Source organism: Homo sapiens, chromosome 12, assembly GCF_000001405.40.
Source record: "Homo sapiens chromosome 12, GRCh38.p14 Primary Assembly".
NCBI classification, from domain to species: Eukaryota; Metazoa; Chordata; class Mammalia; order Primates; family Hominidae; genus Homo; species Homo sapiens.
Window position 1 is genome coordinate 106,550,159 of NC_000012.12, and position 17,347 is coordinate 106,567,505.

The 17,347-nt window shown below is 40.4% G+C and overlaps 1 long non-coding RNA gene across 1 annotated transcript in view, besides 1 other annotated feature; it reads right to left on the reverse strand.

The window, feature by feature from the left end:
• LOC100287944 (uncharacterized) overlaps positions 1–17,347 on the reverse strand; it is a 278,422-nt gene that overhangs the window by 53,749 nt on the left and 207,326 nt on the right. The gene's annotated exons all lie outside the window — the stretch shown is intronic.
• Positions 1,021–1,522: an enhancer, noted in NCBI's record as "H3K4me1 hESC enhancer chr12:106944957-106945458 (GRCh37/hg19 assembly coordinates)". NCBI's record gives its function as "activates a minimal SCP1, AML or CMV promoter by ChIP-STARR-seq in primed H9 embryonic stem cells {active_cell/tissue: H9 hESC(primed)}" and the evidence as "EXISTENCE:reporter gene assay evidence [ECO:0000049][PMID:30033119]".

Below are 17,347 nucleotides of genomic sequence, written 5' to 3' on the forward strand. Positions count from 1 at the left end.
CTTATGAAGCTTAGTTTGGCTGGATATGAAATTCTGGGTTGAAAATTCTTTTCTTTAAGAATGTTGAATATTTGTCCCCACTCTCTTCTGGCTTGTAGAGTTTCTGCCAAGAGATCTGCTGTTAGTCTGATGGGCTTCCCTTTGTGGGTAACCCGACCTTTCTCTCTGGCTGCCCTTAACATTTTTTCCTTCATTTCAACCTTGGTGAATCTGACAATTATGTGTCTTGGGGTTGCTCTTCTCGAGGAGTATCTTTGTGGAGTTCTCTGTATTTCCTGAATTTGAATGTTAGCCTGCCTTGCTAGGTTGGGGAAGTTCTCCTGGATAATATCCTGAAGAGTGTTTTCTAACTTGGTTCCATTCTCCCCGTCACTTTCAGGTGCACCAGTCAAACATATATTTGGTCTTTTCATATAGTCCCATATTTCTTGGAGGCTTTGTTCATTTCTTTTTACTCTTTTTTCTCTAAACTTCTCACTTCATTTCGTTCATTTGATCTTCAATCACTGATACCCTTTCTTCCACTTGATTGAATCGGCTACTGAAGCTTGTGCATGAGTCATGTAGTTCTTGTGCCATGGTTTTCAGCTCCATCAGGTCATTTAAGGTCATCTCTACACTGTTTATTCGAGTTAGCCATTCTTCTAATCTTTTTTCAAGGTTTTTAGCTTCCTTGCGATGGGTTTTGAACATCCTCCTTTAGCTTGGAGAAGTTTGTTATTACCGATCTTCTGAAGTCTACTTCTGTCAACTTGTCAAAGACATTCTCCGTCCAACTTTGTTCTGTTGCTGGTGAGGAGCTGCGATCCTTTGGAGAAGAAGAGGTGCTCTGGTTTTTAGAATTTTCAGCTTTTCTGTTCTGGTTTATCACCATCTTTGTGGTTTTATCTACCTTTGGTCTTTGATGATGGTGACCTACAGATGGTGTTTTGGTGTGGATGTCCTTTTTGTTGATGTTGACACTATTCCTTTCTGTTTGTTAGTTTTCCTTCTATCAGTCAGTACCCTCAGCTGCAGGTCTGTTGGAGTTTGCTGGAGGTCCACTCCAGACCGTTTGCCTGGGTATCACCAGCGGAGGCTGCAGAACAGTAAATGTTGCTGCCTGATCCTTCCACTGGAAGCTTCACCTCAGAAGGGCACTCAGCTGCATGAGGTGTCAGTTGGCCCCTACTGGGAGGTGTCTCCCAGTTAGGCTACTCGGGGGTCAGGTAGCCGCTTGAGGAGGCAGTGTGTCCATTCTCAGATCTCAAACTCCATGCTGGGAGAACTACTGCTGTCTTCAAAGCTGTCAGACAGGGACGTTTAAGTCTGCAGATATTTCTGCTGCCTTTTGTTCAGCTGTGCCCTGCCCCCAGAGGTGGAGTCTACAGAGGCAGGCAGGCCTCTGCTGTTGAGCTGCAGTGGGCTCCACCCAGTTTGAGCTTCCCTGCTGCTTTGTTTACCTCGTCAAGCCTCAGCAGTGGTGGATGCCCCTCCCCCAGCCTCGCTGCAGCCTCCCAGTTCGATCTCAGACTGCTGTGCTAGCAGTAAGCAAGGCTCTGTGTGAGTGGGACCTGCCGAGGCAGGCGTAGGATATAATGTCCTGGTGTGCCGTTTGCTAAGACCATTTGAAAAGTGTAGTGTTAGGGCGGGAGTGTCCCGATTTTCCAGGTACCGTCTGTCACGGCTTCCCTTGGCTAGGAAAGGGAATTCCCTGACGCCTTGCACTTCCCAGGTGAGGTGATGCCCTACCCTGCTTTGGCTCACATTCTGTGGGCTGCACCCACTATCCAACCAGTCCCAATGAGACGAACCCGGTACCTCAGTTGGAAATGCAGAAATCACCCATCTTCTGCATCACTCACGCTGGGAGCTGTAGACCGGAGCTGTTCCTATTTGGCCATCTTGGAACGATCTCTCCACCTTACGCCTGTTAGAATGGCTATTACCAAAAAGACAAAAGGTAAGTGTTGGTATGGATAAGGAGAAAAGGGAACCCTCACACACTGTTAGTGGGAACATAAATTAGCACAGCCATTATGAAAAACAGTATGGAGGTTGCTCAAAAAATTAAAAATAGAACTACCATATGATCCAGCAATCCCATCACTGGGTATGTATCCAAAGGAAATGAAATCAGTAAGTCTAAGAGATGTCTTCACTCCCACGTTTATTGTTGCACACTATTCACAATAGCCAATATATGGAATCAACCTAAGTGTCTATCAATGAATGAATGAATAAGGAAATGTAGTGTATTTGTACAATGGAATACTATTCAGCCATGAAAAAGAATGAATTTCTGTCATTTTTGGCAGCACAGATGAACCTGGAGCATATTATGTTAAGTGAAGTAAGCCAGGCACAGAAAGACAAATATTGAATGATTACTCATATGTGGAATCTAAAAAAAAAATTGATCTCATAGAAGTAGAACAATAGTGGTTACCAGAGGCTGTGAAAGGTAGGAGGTTTGGAGGGATAGGATGAGGTTAGTCAACAGATACAAAGTTATACTTAGATAGGAGGAATAAATTCTAGTCTTCTATTGCACAGTCAGGTGACTGTAGTTAAAGATAATACATAGTATATTTCAAAATAGCTAGAAGAGAGGATTTTGAATGCTCTTACCAGAAAGAAATGATACGTTTGAGGTGATTGATATGTAAATTAGCCTAATTGCACATTATATGCATGTATCAAAACATCACACTGTACCCCCTAAATATGTACAATTATTATATGTCAACTGACAATAAAATAAAACTTCAAATGGAATGAGGTGATTTTTCAGGAAAAAACAAAATACTGTATAATATTCAGCTTAGAGAAAAAAATCTCAACAGATCAATTACATAGACAAAATAAACTTTCAAAGATTTAGCCAGGTATCTTCCACCAAAACATCCCACATGGTTTGCCAGCAGGAATTGAACCAAAATTTTAGGAATTCTAGTACTTCAACATTTTTTTCTGGAACATTAAATAATACAGCTTTGTAAGTCCCTGTATTGAGGTACCCAAAGAGATCTCAATAATGGATAAAATATACAAACAGAAAATTAAGATATGCAGGCTCAAAAACAAATTAAACAGATCCATGCACTGGCAAATAGGACAGTAACACAGAGTAACAATCCCAGGTAATGAAACAGGCAAACTAGGCTCAGCTTGCCATGGTAGATGGGCATTTGTCCTCTGCAGGGTAACTTGGTCTAAAAGCTGTCCTATGCAGCCACCATTGTCACCAGAAACCAGAGGCAGCACCCAGGGTTCTTCTACCTGTGAAAGAAGGCTTAAAAATTATTGTTGCCTGGAGCAAGGCTTGCATGAACTGTGGTGTTAGGGAGGAAAAGAACACAGCACAGTTTATGACCAGGAATTAAATTAAACTGTCCTCTGACAGCTTGGTAGCATATTTGCCATTTCTTCAATATCACCATGGGGCAGGAACCTTACATTGCCAAATGAAACCTGGTTCAGGATGGAGTGGACTAAGTGGAACGGTGCCAATAGGCTGGCTGGTAGGAGAGTGAACAGAGAGAGAAAGAGAGGGACAGGGAGGAGGAAAAGGGGGTTTGTTAGAGGGAGATTCTTCTCAAAATGAGGCTACAGACAAAATTCCAAAGCAAATTAAGAAATCTCAGTGTCGGCCAGGCGCGGTGGCTCACACCTGTAATCCCAGCACTTTGGGAGGCCAAGGTAGGCAGATCACTTGAGGTCAGGAGTTCAAGACCAGCCTGGCCAACATAGTGAAACCCCGTCTCTACTAAAAATACAAAAACTAGCCAAGCATGATGGCTCATGCCTATAATCCCAGCTACTTGGGAGGCTGAGGCAGGAGAATCACTTGAACCCAGGAGGCAGAGGTTGCAGTGAGCCTAGATTGTGCCACTGCACTCTGGCCTGGGTGACAGAGTGAGACTCCATCCCCCCGCCAAAAAAAGGTAAAATCCGTAAATCAACATTAAGTGGGAGTTATAGTCAATGGGCAGTTAAAGTGTGTTAAGCTTGTTTCATTTGTGACTTTAGTCTTTTTATACAAAGATTAATTGAATATATAGCTAAAACTTCATGGGAAACCTCTGGAAGAATAGAAAGACAATCAGCACAGAGGAGGGTGAAAAAATATACAAAACATTTTCAATCCAACAGAAATCAGGGAAGAAAGTAAAGCAGCAAATAAAAAGGATGGTAAGCAAAACACAAAAATAAGTGTTAAAAGTTGTTAAAAGTCTATGCTATTTATGCCAATAAATATAAATAAACATTAGTTATATTAATAATAGATTATATTTATAGATTAATTATATTATAGATTATATTAATTTCCTAGGGCTGCCATAAGAAATTATTATAAACTTGGTGGCTTAAATAACCAAAGCTCATTCTCTCACAATTCTGGAAGGCAGAAGTCCAAAATCAAGATATCAGCAGGGAAAGTGCTCCCTCAGGATTCTAGGGGAAGATCCTTCCTTGCCTCTTCCAGCTTCTGGTGGCTTCAGGCATTCCTTGGCATGTGATATGGTTTGGCAGTGTGTCCCCATCCAAATCTCATGTTGAATTGTAATTCCCATTGTTGGAGATGGGGCCTGGTGGGAGGCGATTGGATCGTGGGGATGGTTGCTAATAGTTTAGCACCATCCCCTTAGTGCTTTCTCCTGAGAGAGTTCTCACGAGATCTGATTGTTTAAAAGTGTGTAGCACCTCTCCTTTTGCTCGCTCTCTCTCTCCTGCTGGCCACGTGAAGACGTGCTTGCCTCCCTTTTACCTTCTAGCATGATTATTTTATAAGTGTTCTGAGGCCTCCCCAAGCATGCTTCCTATACAGCCTGCAGACCTGTGAGTCAATTAAACCTCTTTTCTTCATAAATTACCCAGTCTCAGTTAGTTCTTTATAGCAGTGTGAGAATGGACTAATACAGCATGTAACTGCATAACTCCAATCTCTACCTCTTTCACATGGCGTTCTGTTCTCTCTCTTTTGGTTATCTCTTAGAAGGACATTTGTCATTGGATTTAGTGCCCATCTGAATAGTCCAAGATGATCTTATCTCAAGATCCTTAACTTGACTACATCTACTTTGTCCAAATAAGGTCACATTCACAGACTATGGGGGTAAGGAAGTGGGCACACCTTTTTAGACACCACCATTCAAACCATGAAATAAGTTACCTGGTATAAAAAAGCAGCTATCCAGTTGGATTTTTATTTGTTGATTTTTGAGACAGGATCTCACTATGTTGCCCAGGCAAGAGTGCAGTGGCACAGTCATGGCTCACTGTAGCCTCAACCTCCTGGGCTCAAGTGTAGCTGGGACTACAGGTGCACACCACACACACAGCTACTTTTTAAAATTTTTGTAGAAAATGGAGCCTCACTATGTTGCCCAGGCTGGTCTTGAACTCCTGGCCTCAAGTAATCCTCCCACCTCTGCCTCCCAAAGTGCTAGCATTACAGGTAAATCACATATAAAATTGAAAAACCAATGATGTATTAGTTCGTTTTCATGCTGCTGATAATGACATACCTGAGACTGGGCAATTTACAAAAAAAAAAAAAAAGGTTTATTGGACTTACAGTTCCATGTGGCTGCGGAGGCCTCACACTAGAAGGTGAAAGGCACGTCTCACATGGTGGCAGATGAGAGAAGAGAAGAGAGTTTGTACAGGGAAACTCCCATTTTTAAAACCATCAGACCCTGTGAGACTCATTCACTATCATGAGAACAGCGCAGGAAAGACCCGTCCCGATAATTAAATCACCTTTCACCGGGTTCCTCTCACGACATGTGGGAACTGTGGGAGTTACAATTCAAGATGAGATTTGGTGGGGACACAATGTTGATGTAGCAATCATTAAAGCAGATAGCTAATTACTTGCATTTTCACTTTCTTTCCAATGTATTTTATTGAACAGTTCTTATAGAGACAAATTTATCAACTACTGGAGCTTCACAGTCAGCCCTAATAGCTAGTAGGTCAAGGTTCTCTTCCTTCCTTTTTTTCTTTAGAAGATACTGACTTCTTTCAGCCTTGTTCTTTGACATTAACTAAGATAAAATATTTAAGTAGAACTGTTATGTTGATGGATAGAAAGACAGTAACATAAACATGACAATTCTCCCCAAAATGATCTATAGACTTAACAAAATCCAACAACGATTCTAATGAGGTGTTCGTGGTACTTGATAAGCTGATTCTAAAATAAATGTTCTCTTTCATTCAGCAATTAAATGTCTAGTAATATATCCTACGCAGTTACACATGTACAGAAAATGAATGTACAAGGAGATTTACTGTTGCATTGTTTATACCAGAAAAAAAGATTAGAAATAACCTAATGCCAACAAAGATGAAATCAATTAATTATGGAACATGTATAAGAAAAAATACCATTAAAAAATGTAAAGACCAAAGCAGCACCACATAGATATAAAATGTCATAAGCTTCAGCATACATTGTTAAGTGCAGAATAAAGGAAAAGAAGAATAATTAAAGTTATCCTTAGTTATACTTTTGTACTATTGATTTTAATTATAATCAGTGTCACTAATGTTTATTGAGCATTTATTATGAGCCAGGAAGTTTTCTAAGTGACAGAGCATGGCTGAGATGGTTTTAGCCTGATGGAGTGTGGAGAGGTGGTATTCACAGTCATCAGCCATTGCCAGAGAGAAGGCAGTGGATGGGGGTAGCACATACAAGCATTTAACCTGGGGAATTCAGCCTTGTGTTTAAAAAGAGGGAGACAAACAGGTCAACACTGTGGAAATAGTGTAGGCAGTCCCAGTCACCATTCAGCTCAATGAGCACCTGGTCAGAGGAGAGGGATCCATGGGGAGATGAACACTGTAACAGTAATTAGGAGATGTTTGGCCAAGCGGCTCAAAGGAGAAGAACAGGGTACGCTGAAAGTCTATCATATAAGGAATGATTTGGTTGGGACTCTTTTGGTTGTGAGTAGCAGAAACAAAACTAGAATTGCTTTAAGCAAAAAAAAGGTGAATTTTTTGGCTGACATATCTGAAAATCCTAAGAGAAGAGCCAACTTCAGGCATGGTTAAACCCAGCCACTCCAAAGGCATCACTGGGACTCTCCCCTTCATTTGTCAGCTGTTTCCATCCACGTGGGATTCAGTCTCAGCCAGGCTCCCCTCTCAGGTGACTTCCGGTAGATTCAGCATTTCACCCATCAGTTTCAACTGCCCTTTGCAAGAATTCTAACAAAAGCTCTAGCTAGGTTTGAGCCGCATGTCCACTCACTGGAACTAGTGATGGGGTCAATTCCATATAGTTCAAACACATAAAGTAGATGCTATCAAAGGAAAAACACAGCTGTTTTTAATGAAATGAGTGTGAATAGATATTGAAAAAACCAAACTCACAGATGTCTACAATGGGGCTTAACTATTAATAGTTTGGAATCTGAGGAATAGCTATTATGGGAATTTGGCATTTAAGATGAGGATTTAGGAAATGCTATCAAATATGAAAATATAGTGATGCATCACTTAATGACAGGGATAGTTCTGAGAAATCTGTTGTTAGGCAATTTCATTGTTGTTCAAACATCATAGAGTACACTTACATAAACCTAGATGGTATAGTCTACTACGCACCTAGGTTATGTTATATGGCTTATTGCTCCCATGCAACAAACATGTACAGCATGTGACTGTACTGAATACTGTAGATGATTATAACCTCATGGAAAATATTTGTGTATCTAAACACATCTAAACATAAAAAGGATACAGAAAAAATGCTGGATAAAAGATGAAAATGGTACACCTCTATAGTACACTTATAATGGAGCTGGTAGGACTGGAAGTTGGTCTGGGTGAGTCAGTGAGTGGTGAGTGAATGGGAAGGCCTAGGACAGTACTGTACACTACTGTAGACTTTATGAACACTATACACTTAGGCCACACTAAATTTATAAATAATATTTTTCTTTCTTCAATAATACATCAACCTTACTTTACTGTAACTTTTTTACTTTATACACTCAATTTTTTTTAATCACTCATATTTATTCATATATTGCCCCCTTTGTCCCGGATATCATACAGCCAAAATCAAAATAGGTGAAATTCTATGGTATTTTACAGATCCTTCAGTGGTGAGGCAGGCAATGACTGCAGCTAGTAGCCTAATTTCCCCAGGTGAATTATCAGACCAGCCATTACCTCCAAAGGAAGCTTCTTTTTTTATTATTCTTATACTTTAAGTTTTAGGGTACATGTGCACAGCATGCAGGTTTGTTACATATGTATACATGTGCCATGTTGGTGTGCTGCACCCATTAACTCATCATTTACATTAGGTATATCTCCTAATGCTGTCCCTCCCCCCTCCCCCCACCCCACAACAGGCCCTGGTGTGTGATGTTCCCCTTCCTGTGTCCATGAGTTCTCATTGTTCAATTCCCACCTATGAGTGAGAACATGCTGTGTTTGGTTTTTTGTCCTTGTGATAGTTTGCTGAGAATGATGGTTTCCAGCTTCATCCATGTCCCTACAAAGGACATGAACTCATCATTTTTTATGGCTGCATAGTATTCCATGGTGTATATGTGCCACATTTTCTTAATCCAGTCTATCATTGTTGGACATTTGGGTTGGTTCCAAGTCTTTGCTATTGTGAATAGTGCTGCAATAAACATACACGTGCATGTGTCTTTATAGCAGCATGATTTATAATCCTTTGGGTATATACCCAGTAATGGGATGGCTGGGTCAAATGATATTTCTAGTTCTAGATCCCTGAGGAATTGCCACACTGACTTCCACAATGGTTGAACTAGTTTACAGTCCCACCAACAGTGTAAAAGTGTTCCTATTTCTCCACATCCTCTCCAGCACCTGTTGTTCCCCTGACTTTTTAATGATCGCCATTCTAACTGGTGTGACATAGTAGCTCATTGTGGTTTTGATTTGCATTTCTCTGATCGTCAGTGATGATGAGCATTTTTTCATGTGTCTTTTGGCTGCATAAATGTCTTCTTTTGAGAAGCGTCTGTTTATATCCTTCGCCCACTTGTTGATGGGGTTGCTTGTTTTTTTTCTTGTAAATTTGTTTGAGTTCTTTGTAGATTCTGGATATTAGCCCTTTGTCAGTTGAGTAGATTGCAAAAATTTTCTCCCATTCTGTAGGTTGCCTATTCACTCTGATGGTAGTTTCTTTTGCTGTGCAGAAGCTCTTTAGTTTAATTAGATCCCATTTGTGAATTCTGGCTTTCGTTGCCATTGCTTTTGGTGTTCTAGACATGAAGTCCTTGCCCATGCCTATGTCCTGAATGGGATTGCCTAGGTTTTCTTCTAGGGTTTTTATGGTTTTAGTTCTAACATTTAAGTCTTTATTCCATCTGGAATTAATTTTTGTATAAGGTGTAAGGAAGGGATCCAGTTTCAGCTTTCTACATATGGCTAGCCAGTTTTCCCAGCACCATTTATTAAATAGGGAATCCTTTCCCTATTTCTTGTTTTTGTCAGGTCTGTCAAAGATCACGTAGTTGTAGATATATGGCATTATTTCTGAGGGCTCTGTTCTGTTCCATTGGTTTATATCTCTGTTTTGGTACCAGTACCATGCTGTTTTAGTTACTGTAGCCTTGTAGTATAGTTTGAAGTCAGGTAGCCTATACGCTTAATTTTTTAAAAAACTTTTTGACTCTTGTAGTAACACAGCTTAAAACAAACATTATACAGCTGTACAAAAATAGTTTCTTTTTTCATCTTTATTCTATATGCTTTTTTCTAATCTTTGAATTTATTGTTTACTTTTTAATGTTTTTTATTAAAAACTAAGACACAGGCGGGGCACAGTGGCTCATGTCTGTAATCCCAGCACTTTGGGAGGCCAAGGTGGGCAGATCTCTCAGACCAGCCTGGGCAACATGGTGAAACTCTGTCTCTACAAAAAATACAAAAATGAGCCAGGAGTGGTGGTATGTGCCTGTAGTCCCAGCACACTGGGAGGATTGCTTGAACCCAGGAAGCAGCAGTTGCGGTGAACCGAGTTTGTGCCACTGCATTCCAGCCTGGGTGACAGAGCAAGACTCTGTCTCCAACAACAACAATGAAAACTAAGACACAAACACATACATTAGCCTAGGCTTACACAGGGTCAGAATCATCAAGATGTCACTAGGTGATTTTTCAACTCCATCATAATCTTATGGAACCACCATCACATATGCAGTCTGTTGTTGACTAAAACGTCATTACGTGGTGCATGACTGTATTTACCACTCTTCTGAATAAAGGTTCTTGGAGGTGCTCTGCTGCTTAGTATTGCTTCTACCCTTATGTGATGGTACTCACATAAAGTGTCATCTACACCGGGAATAGTGGAAGTGTATGCTAGCTAGCCTTGTCTTTTATTTTTGCCTTTACCTTGCATCTGCCCCAGAGTATAGGGACAGTGTCTTATTCTTGTTATATTCCTAGCACTTAACCCAGTGCCTAGTCTGTAGTCGGGAATCAATAAGTATTTGACAATCAGTGGATACACTGATGAATAAAATATAATTTTTTAAAGTATCCTTTGTCATTGGATCTGCTAAACTGTATTCTTGCAGTGAGCCATTTTGTCTGCCCACTCAACTTGCCATTCTTTTTTCTAGTCTCCCTGGCTTTCCAACCCTTGGTTTTGCATCCTGGTTCCTGATAACCACTTCAGGCCATTCATGTTTTGATGACTCATTTCAAGCCTGTGTTGGATATTCTTCATTCTTCCATAAAGGATGAACCCACAGTTTTTATGTAGGCATATGGTTGCTCAGTTTAAAAACTATATCTCCCAGTCTCCCTTGTAGCTAAGTATGGCCATATGACTTAGTTCTGGCTGATGGGAGGTAAGCAGGGGTGGCCTATGGCAACTTCCAGGAAGCTTCTATGGTTGCTATCCTCCAAAGATGGCCCCCAGCAATTCCCCTTCACCCTGTATGTGCATGCCATTCTCACATCAAGAGGTGGAACATGTCCACCCCTTCTCTGGGCTGGCCCTGTGACTGCTTTGACCAATAGGATATAGTAGCAGGGACATCTTGGGACTTCCAAGCTTGGGCCTTAAGAGGATTGGCTGCTTCTGTTTCCTTCTTCTCCACATACTTATGTTCAGAATGATCCTTTTTGAACACAACTTCCATGCTACAAGGAAGCTCAAGCAACTGTGAGGAAGAAACCTCATGAAGGAGAGCAGGCTTCAGGCCATGACCCTGGCTGAGCTCCTAGCTAATAGCCAGTGCCAACTTGCCAGCCATGTGGTTGCAGTCATTTTGGATCTATCAACTGTGTCAGAATGCTGGCCAACACCATGAAAAGCCATCTACCCACAGAATCATAACATATGATAAGTTATTGTTATGTGAAGCCACTAAGTTTTGGGGTGGTTTGTTATGCTGCAATAGAAAATTAACACATCTTTCTTAAAATATAGTTACATAATCCTGTAATTTTGATATTTGTCCCTTCCAAACCTCATGTTGAGATTCCTCATTAATAGATCAATGCCTTCCCCCTCGGGGTGAGTGTGTTCTCACTCTATTAGTTCCTACGAGAGCTAGTTGTTAAAAAGAGCCTGGCACCTCCTCTACTCTCTCTTGCTTCCTCTCTCACCCTGTGATCTCTGCACACACTGGCTCCCTTTGCCTTCTGCCGTGAGTGGAAGCTTCCTGAGGCCCTCATCAGACCCGGATGCTGGTGCCATGCCTGTACAACCTGTAGAACTGTGAGCCAAATAAACCTCTTTTCTTTATAAATTATTCAGCCTCAGATATTCCTTTATAGCAACACTAAATAAACTAAGCCATACACTCTTTGCCTCTTCTTTTTCCCTTTGTTCTTCCATATACATGATGACCAGAGCTGGAGCCACCATCTTGGACTCTGAAGTAATCTTGGAAATGGAGATCATGCAAGAGAAAATAAGTTGAAATATCTCTACTTCACACACTTATATTAAAAAATTAAACTTATATCCTGAATAAGCCACTGTTATTCTGAATCTTTTACTCCAGCTGAACCAATTCTAACTAATGTAGACTCCTTTGGTACCACTCAGATGGTAAATTTTGCACATCCCCTTGGTTTCTTCAGTTTGCTTGTTCTTTTATTTTTAAATTAATGTTTGTTTTATCAGACAGACACAGCTATACAGTTTTAAAACTCAAATGATTTGGGAGTTCCAGTTACTGACAAAATAATATTAGCTTAGCCTCACCAATTTTTTCCTCCAAATCCCTCCTCATAAATTTCACAAAAGCCTGAAACTATGTTTATGAAACTAACATAAACACATTTAAAAATCTATGGTATAACAGTAGGTGTTTAGGTCCTGATGTGAGGGAGAAGTAGAAGCCCAGAGCCCAGCATGGCTGAGTCCCACGGATGGTGGCAGGAAGATATGTTTCAAAGAGACTTTTAGATGCACCGTTTGCTCTTTAACATTGTCCTAAGTGGACATGTGTCCACCCCAATGCCACAGCGAAGCAGAAAAAGCAGCCAGTCTAGTACTGCCAGAGTTGCCAAGATAACATCAGAGTAGGCACTGTAGCCAAGCTGGGTAGTTAAGAACCGGTTAACAGTGGGTACAAGTAAACTGCTCAGCCCCTTAGCATTCCTTCCTCCCTCTACCCTGCTTTATAGTGACTCCTCCTTCACAGACAAATCTTGAAAACAAGGGGGTCCAGATGGAAGTCCAAACTGTAACATCCTGAGCTCTCTCTTGCTCTCTTTCTCTCTGCTCCCTCAATGCCAAATTTATCAAGAAAGATAGAAGCTAGGGCTTATGCTTTAGCCTTTCTCACTGGCTCAGGCATCTAGTACCTCTAGGACGGAATTTCTCAACCTTAGCATTATTGAAATTTTGGCCAAATAAGTTTTTGTTGTGGGAGGATTTCCTGTACATTATAGGATTTTTAAGTGCATCCCTGGCTTTTACACACTAGAGCCAGTAGTAATACTCCTCCACCCTCCACCACAGGTGATGACAACCAAAAATTTCTTCTGTTGGGGCAAATTTACCCCAGGTTGAGAATCTCTATTCTAGAAGAATAGGTATAGGGCCACTGCATTGCAGTGTGACAGCTCTGAATTTGAACTCCTAGGAAAAAAATATACTCCTGGGTATAATTAGCCACTGATATAAGAGAAAAGCAACTAATGGAAAAATCTAATCTTAGATAAAGCAAACTTAGCAGACCAGACAGAACAAGAAAGCATATTAAACAGATAAGAAAGGATACTGTGAAGCCAAAGGCATAATGAAGCCCCAAGAAGAATTTCTGAGTATAAAAAATTGAAACAAAAACTCAATGGATTGACTATTGATTAGTAGATTGAATAGCAGAATACATAGATAAGAAATCAAAGTAGTGGAGTATTAGTTCCAGATAGCATCATTATGGGTTTTATAGTTGTAATATAAAAAAGAAAAGAGATATGGAAAATAGAAACAGAAGCACCAACATTCAATTAATAGAAGTCTCAGAAGAAAAGAAAAAATAACAAGAGTAGAATATTTAAAGAAAGAGTAAACAGAGAATTTCTCAGATTAGAGAGGTTTTTAAGACCTCAAAGTACAAGTACTCCTAACAAGATAAGGAACATAAGAAAAAAACATACCTAGATACATGTTCATATCATTTAAGCACATCAGAGACATTGAGAAAATTCTAAACACTTCGAGATACAAAACAAATTGCCTGAAAAGGAACAAGAATCACCAACATCAGGTTTCTCAACAGTGACATCTACAAGGAAACCACAGAGTAATATTTTCAGTATTAAAGTAAAAGAACTTAGGACCTAAAATTCTAAATCCAGCTAAACTATCATTTAAATATGATAATTAATAGTAATATTTAATGTTAATAATTCATGTTTGCCATAGAAACACCCTCTTTGAAAATATTCAAGGAAGTGCTCTAGCAAGAAGGAAACAAGGAGGATGTGGTCAAAAATGGAAGGGTGAATAAATAATTTGGTAAATTCTGTTGTAAAACTCAGCAACCATTACAATGAAATAAGCAAACAAAACATGTATGTGACAATCGATAATTAAAAATGATTAGATAGATTGAAATGTCTCTTGCTTGAAATTATACATTCAATTTTATTCTTTGGGTAGTCGTTCATAACTTACTAAAACAAAAACCTGGTTTAATTTTACCCTTTCTAATGGCAAGTAGTAAGAGGAAATAAAAGGAACAGAAAGTGTGGTAAATAGAATACATGAAAGGAAGGTCATATGTATAAAATTCACTAGTATAAAAAGATAAAGATGCAGAGAGGATTAATATCTAATGTTATCTATGAGAGAAACACTTAAAGCAAGAGAATACAAAAAGATAAAAAATACAAGAAGGGAGATAAATACACCAGAGAAATAGGATCTTAAAGAGAGCAATTTTATTATCAGAACAAATAGATATGTGACAAAGAAGGAAGCTTTATATTTGTAAGGCATATTTCAACAGATATATGATCACACCTGTATATTCACCTAAGAAAGCACTGAAACACATATTTTTAAATGACAATTGAAAGAAATAACTAAGTCAGCAAGTATAGTTGGTAGTATGAGACACACAAGTGTAAGCATTTGTCATACTCATGGAACTGTAAATGAGATCTGTGCATTTCACTAAATGTAAATCATCCCTTCTCTCAGTTCTAGTCCTCCAAGAAGCAGGAGACAAAGCAAGATTAGACATGCAAGAAATGTATTGGGAGAAAAATTCCTGTGAAGGGTAAAAAAGAGTAGAAAAAGATGGGGAGAATCGTCACATGGTAACGCCTGACTCATATCTGTGAAAGGAAAGGGGGAAGGAAGAAAGATTAGGTAGGACAACTCTCAGTCTGCAGCAACGTTCTAAAAATGGTTCAGCCGGGCAAACGGGGGGCCTTCAGACAAAGCTTGCATTCTGCAAGAATGCACCGGCGCTATTACCACTACTGTACCCAGTCACTGGGAGCCATAGGTAAGACTGTGATGGTAGCCACAGAGAGGCAGCAGCAGCAGCTGTCAGTCAACCATGCTCCCACAGCAGATTCTCTTAAAAGAGATCTGAGTCACACGTCTACCTGACTGCCACATACCTCAGCAAAGTTATGAAAAAAAAAATCCAATAGTGTTCCTCTATACTAGCAATAACCACGTATAAAACAGGATAAACAAGATAGCATTAATAATAGAAACCAAACCATAAGTTCCTGACTAAATTGAACAAACTAAGGCAGACTTTTACCAACAAACTTAAAGGACATATTTTTTTAAAATAAATGAACAGATTATTCCATGTTTATATGTGGAGTGACATGTAAACATACTGATTCAACTCAACAATTTAATGCAAGTTCAACTGAAATTACTCAAAGGGCTGGGCATGGTGGGTCACGCATGTAATCCAAGTATTTTGGGAGGCTGAGGTGGAAGGATCGAGTGAGCCCAGGAATTCAAGAGCAGCCTGGGCAACATAATGAGACCCCGTCTTTAAAAAAAAAAAAAAAATCAAAAAATTAGCTGGGTGATGGTGTGTGCCTGTAGTCTCAGCTACTCAGGAAGCTGAGGCAGGAGAATCAGTTGAGCCCTGGGAGGTCGAGGCTTCAGTGACCTGTGATTGTGCCACTGCACTCCAGCCTGGGCAATGGAGGGAGGGAGGGAGGGATGGAAGGAGGGAAGGAAGGAAGGGAAGGGAGGGAAGGAGGGAAAGAAAGAAGAGAAAGAAAAAAAGGGGGTAGGGAGGGAGGAAGGAAGGAAGGAAGGAAAGGAAGAAAGGAAGAGAAGGAAGGGAGGGAGGAAGGAAGGAGAAAGAAGGAAAGAAATTGCTCAAGGATTTTTGATAAATTTGACAAATTTCTTCTAAAATAAATATATATGAAAAATTTAATTCCATGAACCACTAAGCCAGTTTTGAAAAAGAAGAGAAAGGGAAACTTGCTTTACCAGATATAAAAAATGTTACAAAGACATAGTGATAAAGGTAGAATGGAACCAGGTCAGGAAGAAGCAAACAGATGAAAGAAAATGACTAAAGAGTGCCTATATGGGAAATTAGAGTATGATTGTGGTGGTGCCACACACCAGTGGGGAAAATATAGATTATTTAACAGATAGTTGCTGTGGACTGAATTATGAATTGTGTCCTTCCAAAATTATATGTTGAAGCTCTAGCCCCCAGTGTGACTGTATTTGGAGGCAGGGCCTTTAGGAGGTAATTCAGGTTTAAGGAGGTCATCAGAGTGGAGCCCTAAGCCGACAGGATTGGTGGCCTTATAGGAAGAGGGAGGAGCTTCCAGGTTGGTGAATACCTTGAGATTTGGGAGGGTGGCACCCAAGAGAAGACATGACAGTTCTGGACATACAGACACGCGCATCCCCCTGCTTCCCCACAGCTTGCCCTACACATCTCTTCCATTTGGCTATTCCTGAGTTGAAATGTCCATGTCTGTTTCATCACCATCACACCAGCATTAAAAACTACCTTTATAAAAACTGGAACCAATTTGGTGGGTTCAATGCCTTGTTGGTCCTAGAACTGTCTATGTGACAGCTGGGGTGGGGGTCAGACTGCAGGGCATCACCTGCACATGGGTCACCTTGGGCCAGTTACAGGATCTGCCTTTAACTAAGAGGCATGAACAAGAGACAGAATCCAGCAGCTGGATTGACTGATCCATCTCTCACTGCCCCCAAGCAGAGGAAAAGGGTTTCTAGAGTCGTGGACCATGCTTTGAAATGCTTTTCTTGGCAAAAGAATGTGTCAGCCATCTAGACCACAAAGATACCAGGAAGCATCTGTTCTGCACTGAATAGCATCTGCGTCTTGAATTTCCTCTGGATCATCTTGGGCCACTCCAGTTAGATACCCATACGGCTGTCTTTGGGTGTGGAGAGTGGATGAGCCTTTATGAGCAATCAAGGAAGAATCTTTTGTGTGGTGGGATCCTACTGGGGAGCCTTCCCCACAAGCAGCCTCCCTACTGTTTTAGAGAACTAGACCATGACCTTCCATAAGTGTGTTTTCCAGGCCAGTGTGCCATAGCTGCTTTAACTCCTGCTAGGTATAAATCAGGCACCTGGCTACAAGTGATACCTGGGTGTTGTATTTTTATGGTCCAAGGAGTTGAGTTTCTTCTCACCATGATTAATGAAGATTTTTCTCCCTGAAAAACAGGCAAGCATACATAAATTTTGTGCACTAGTATTAAAAAAAAAGGGAGAAATCTCTTTCTCTATCTCCCTGCCCACACACTAAGGAAAGGCCATAGGAGGACATAGCAAGAAGGTGGCTGTCCACAAGCTAGGGAGAGAGCCTTCACCAGACACAGAATTGGCAGAATTGAACATCTCACCTCA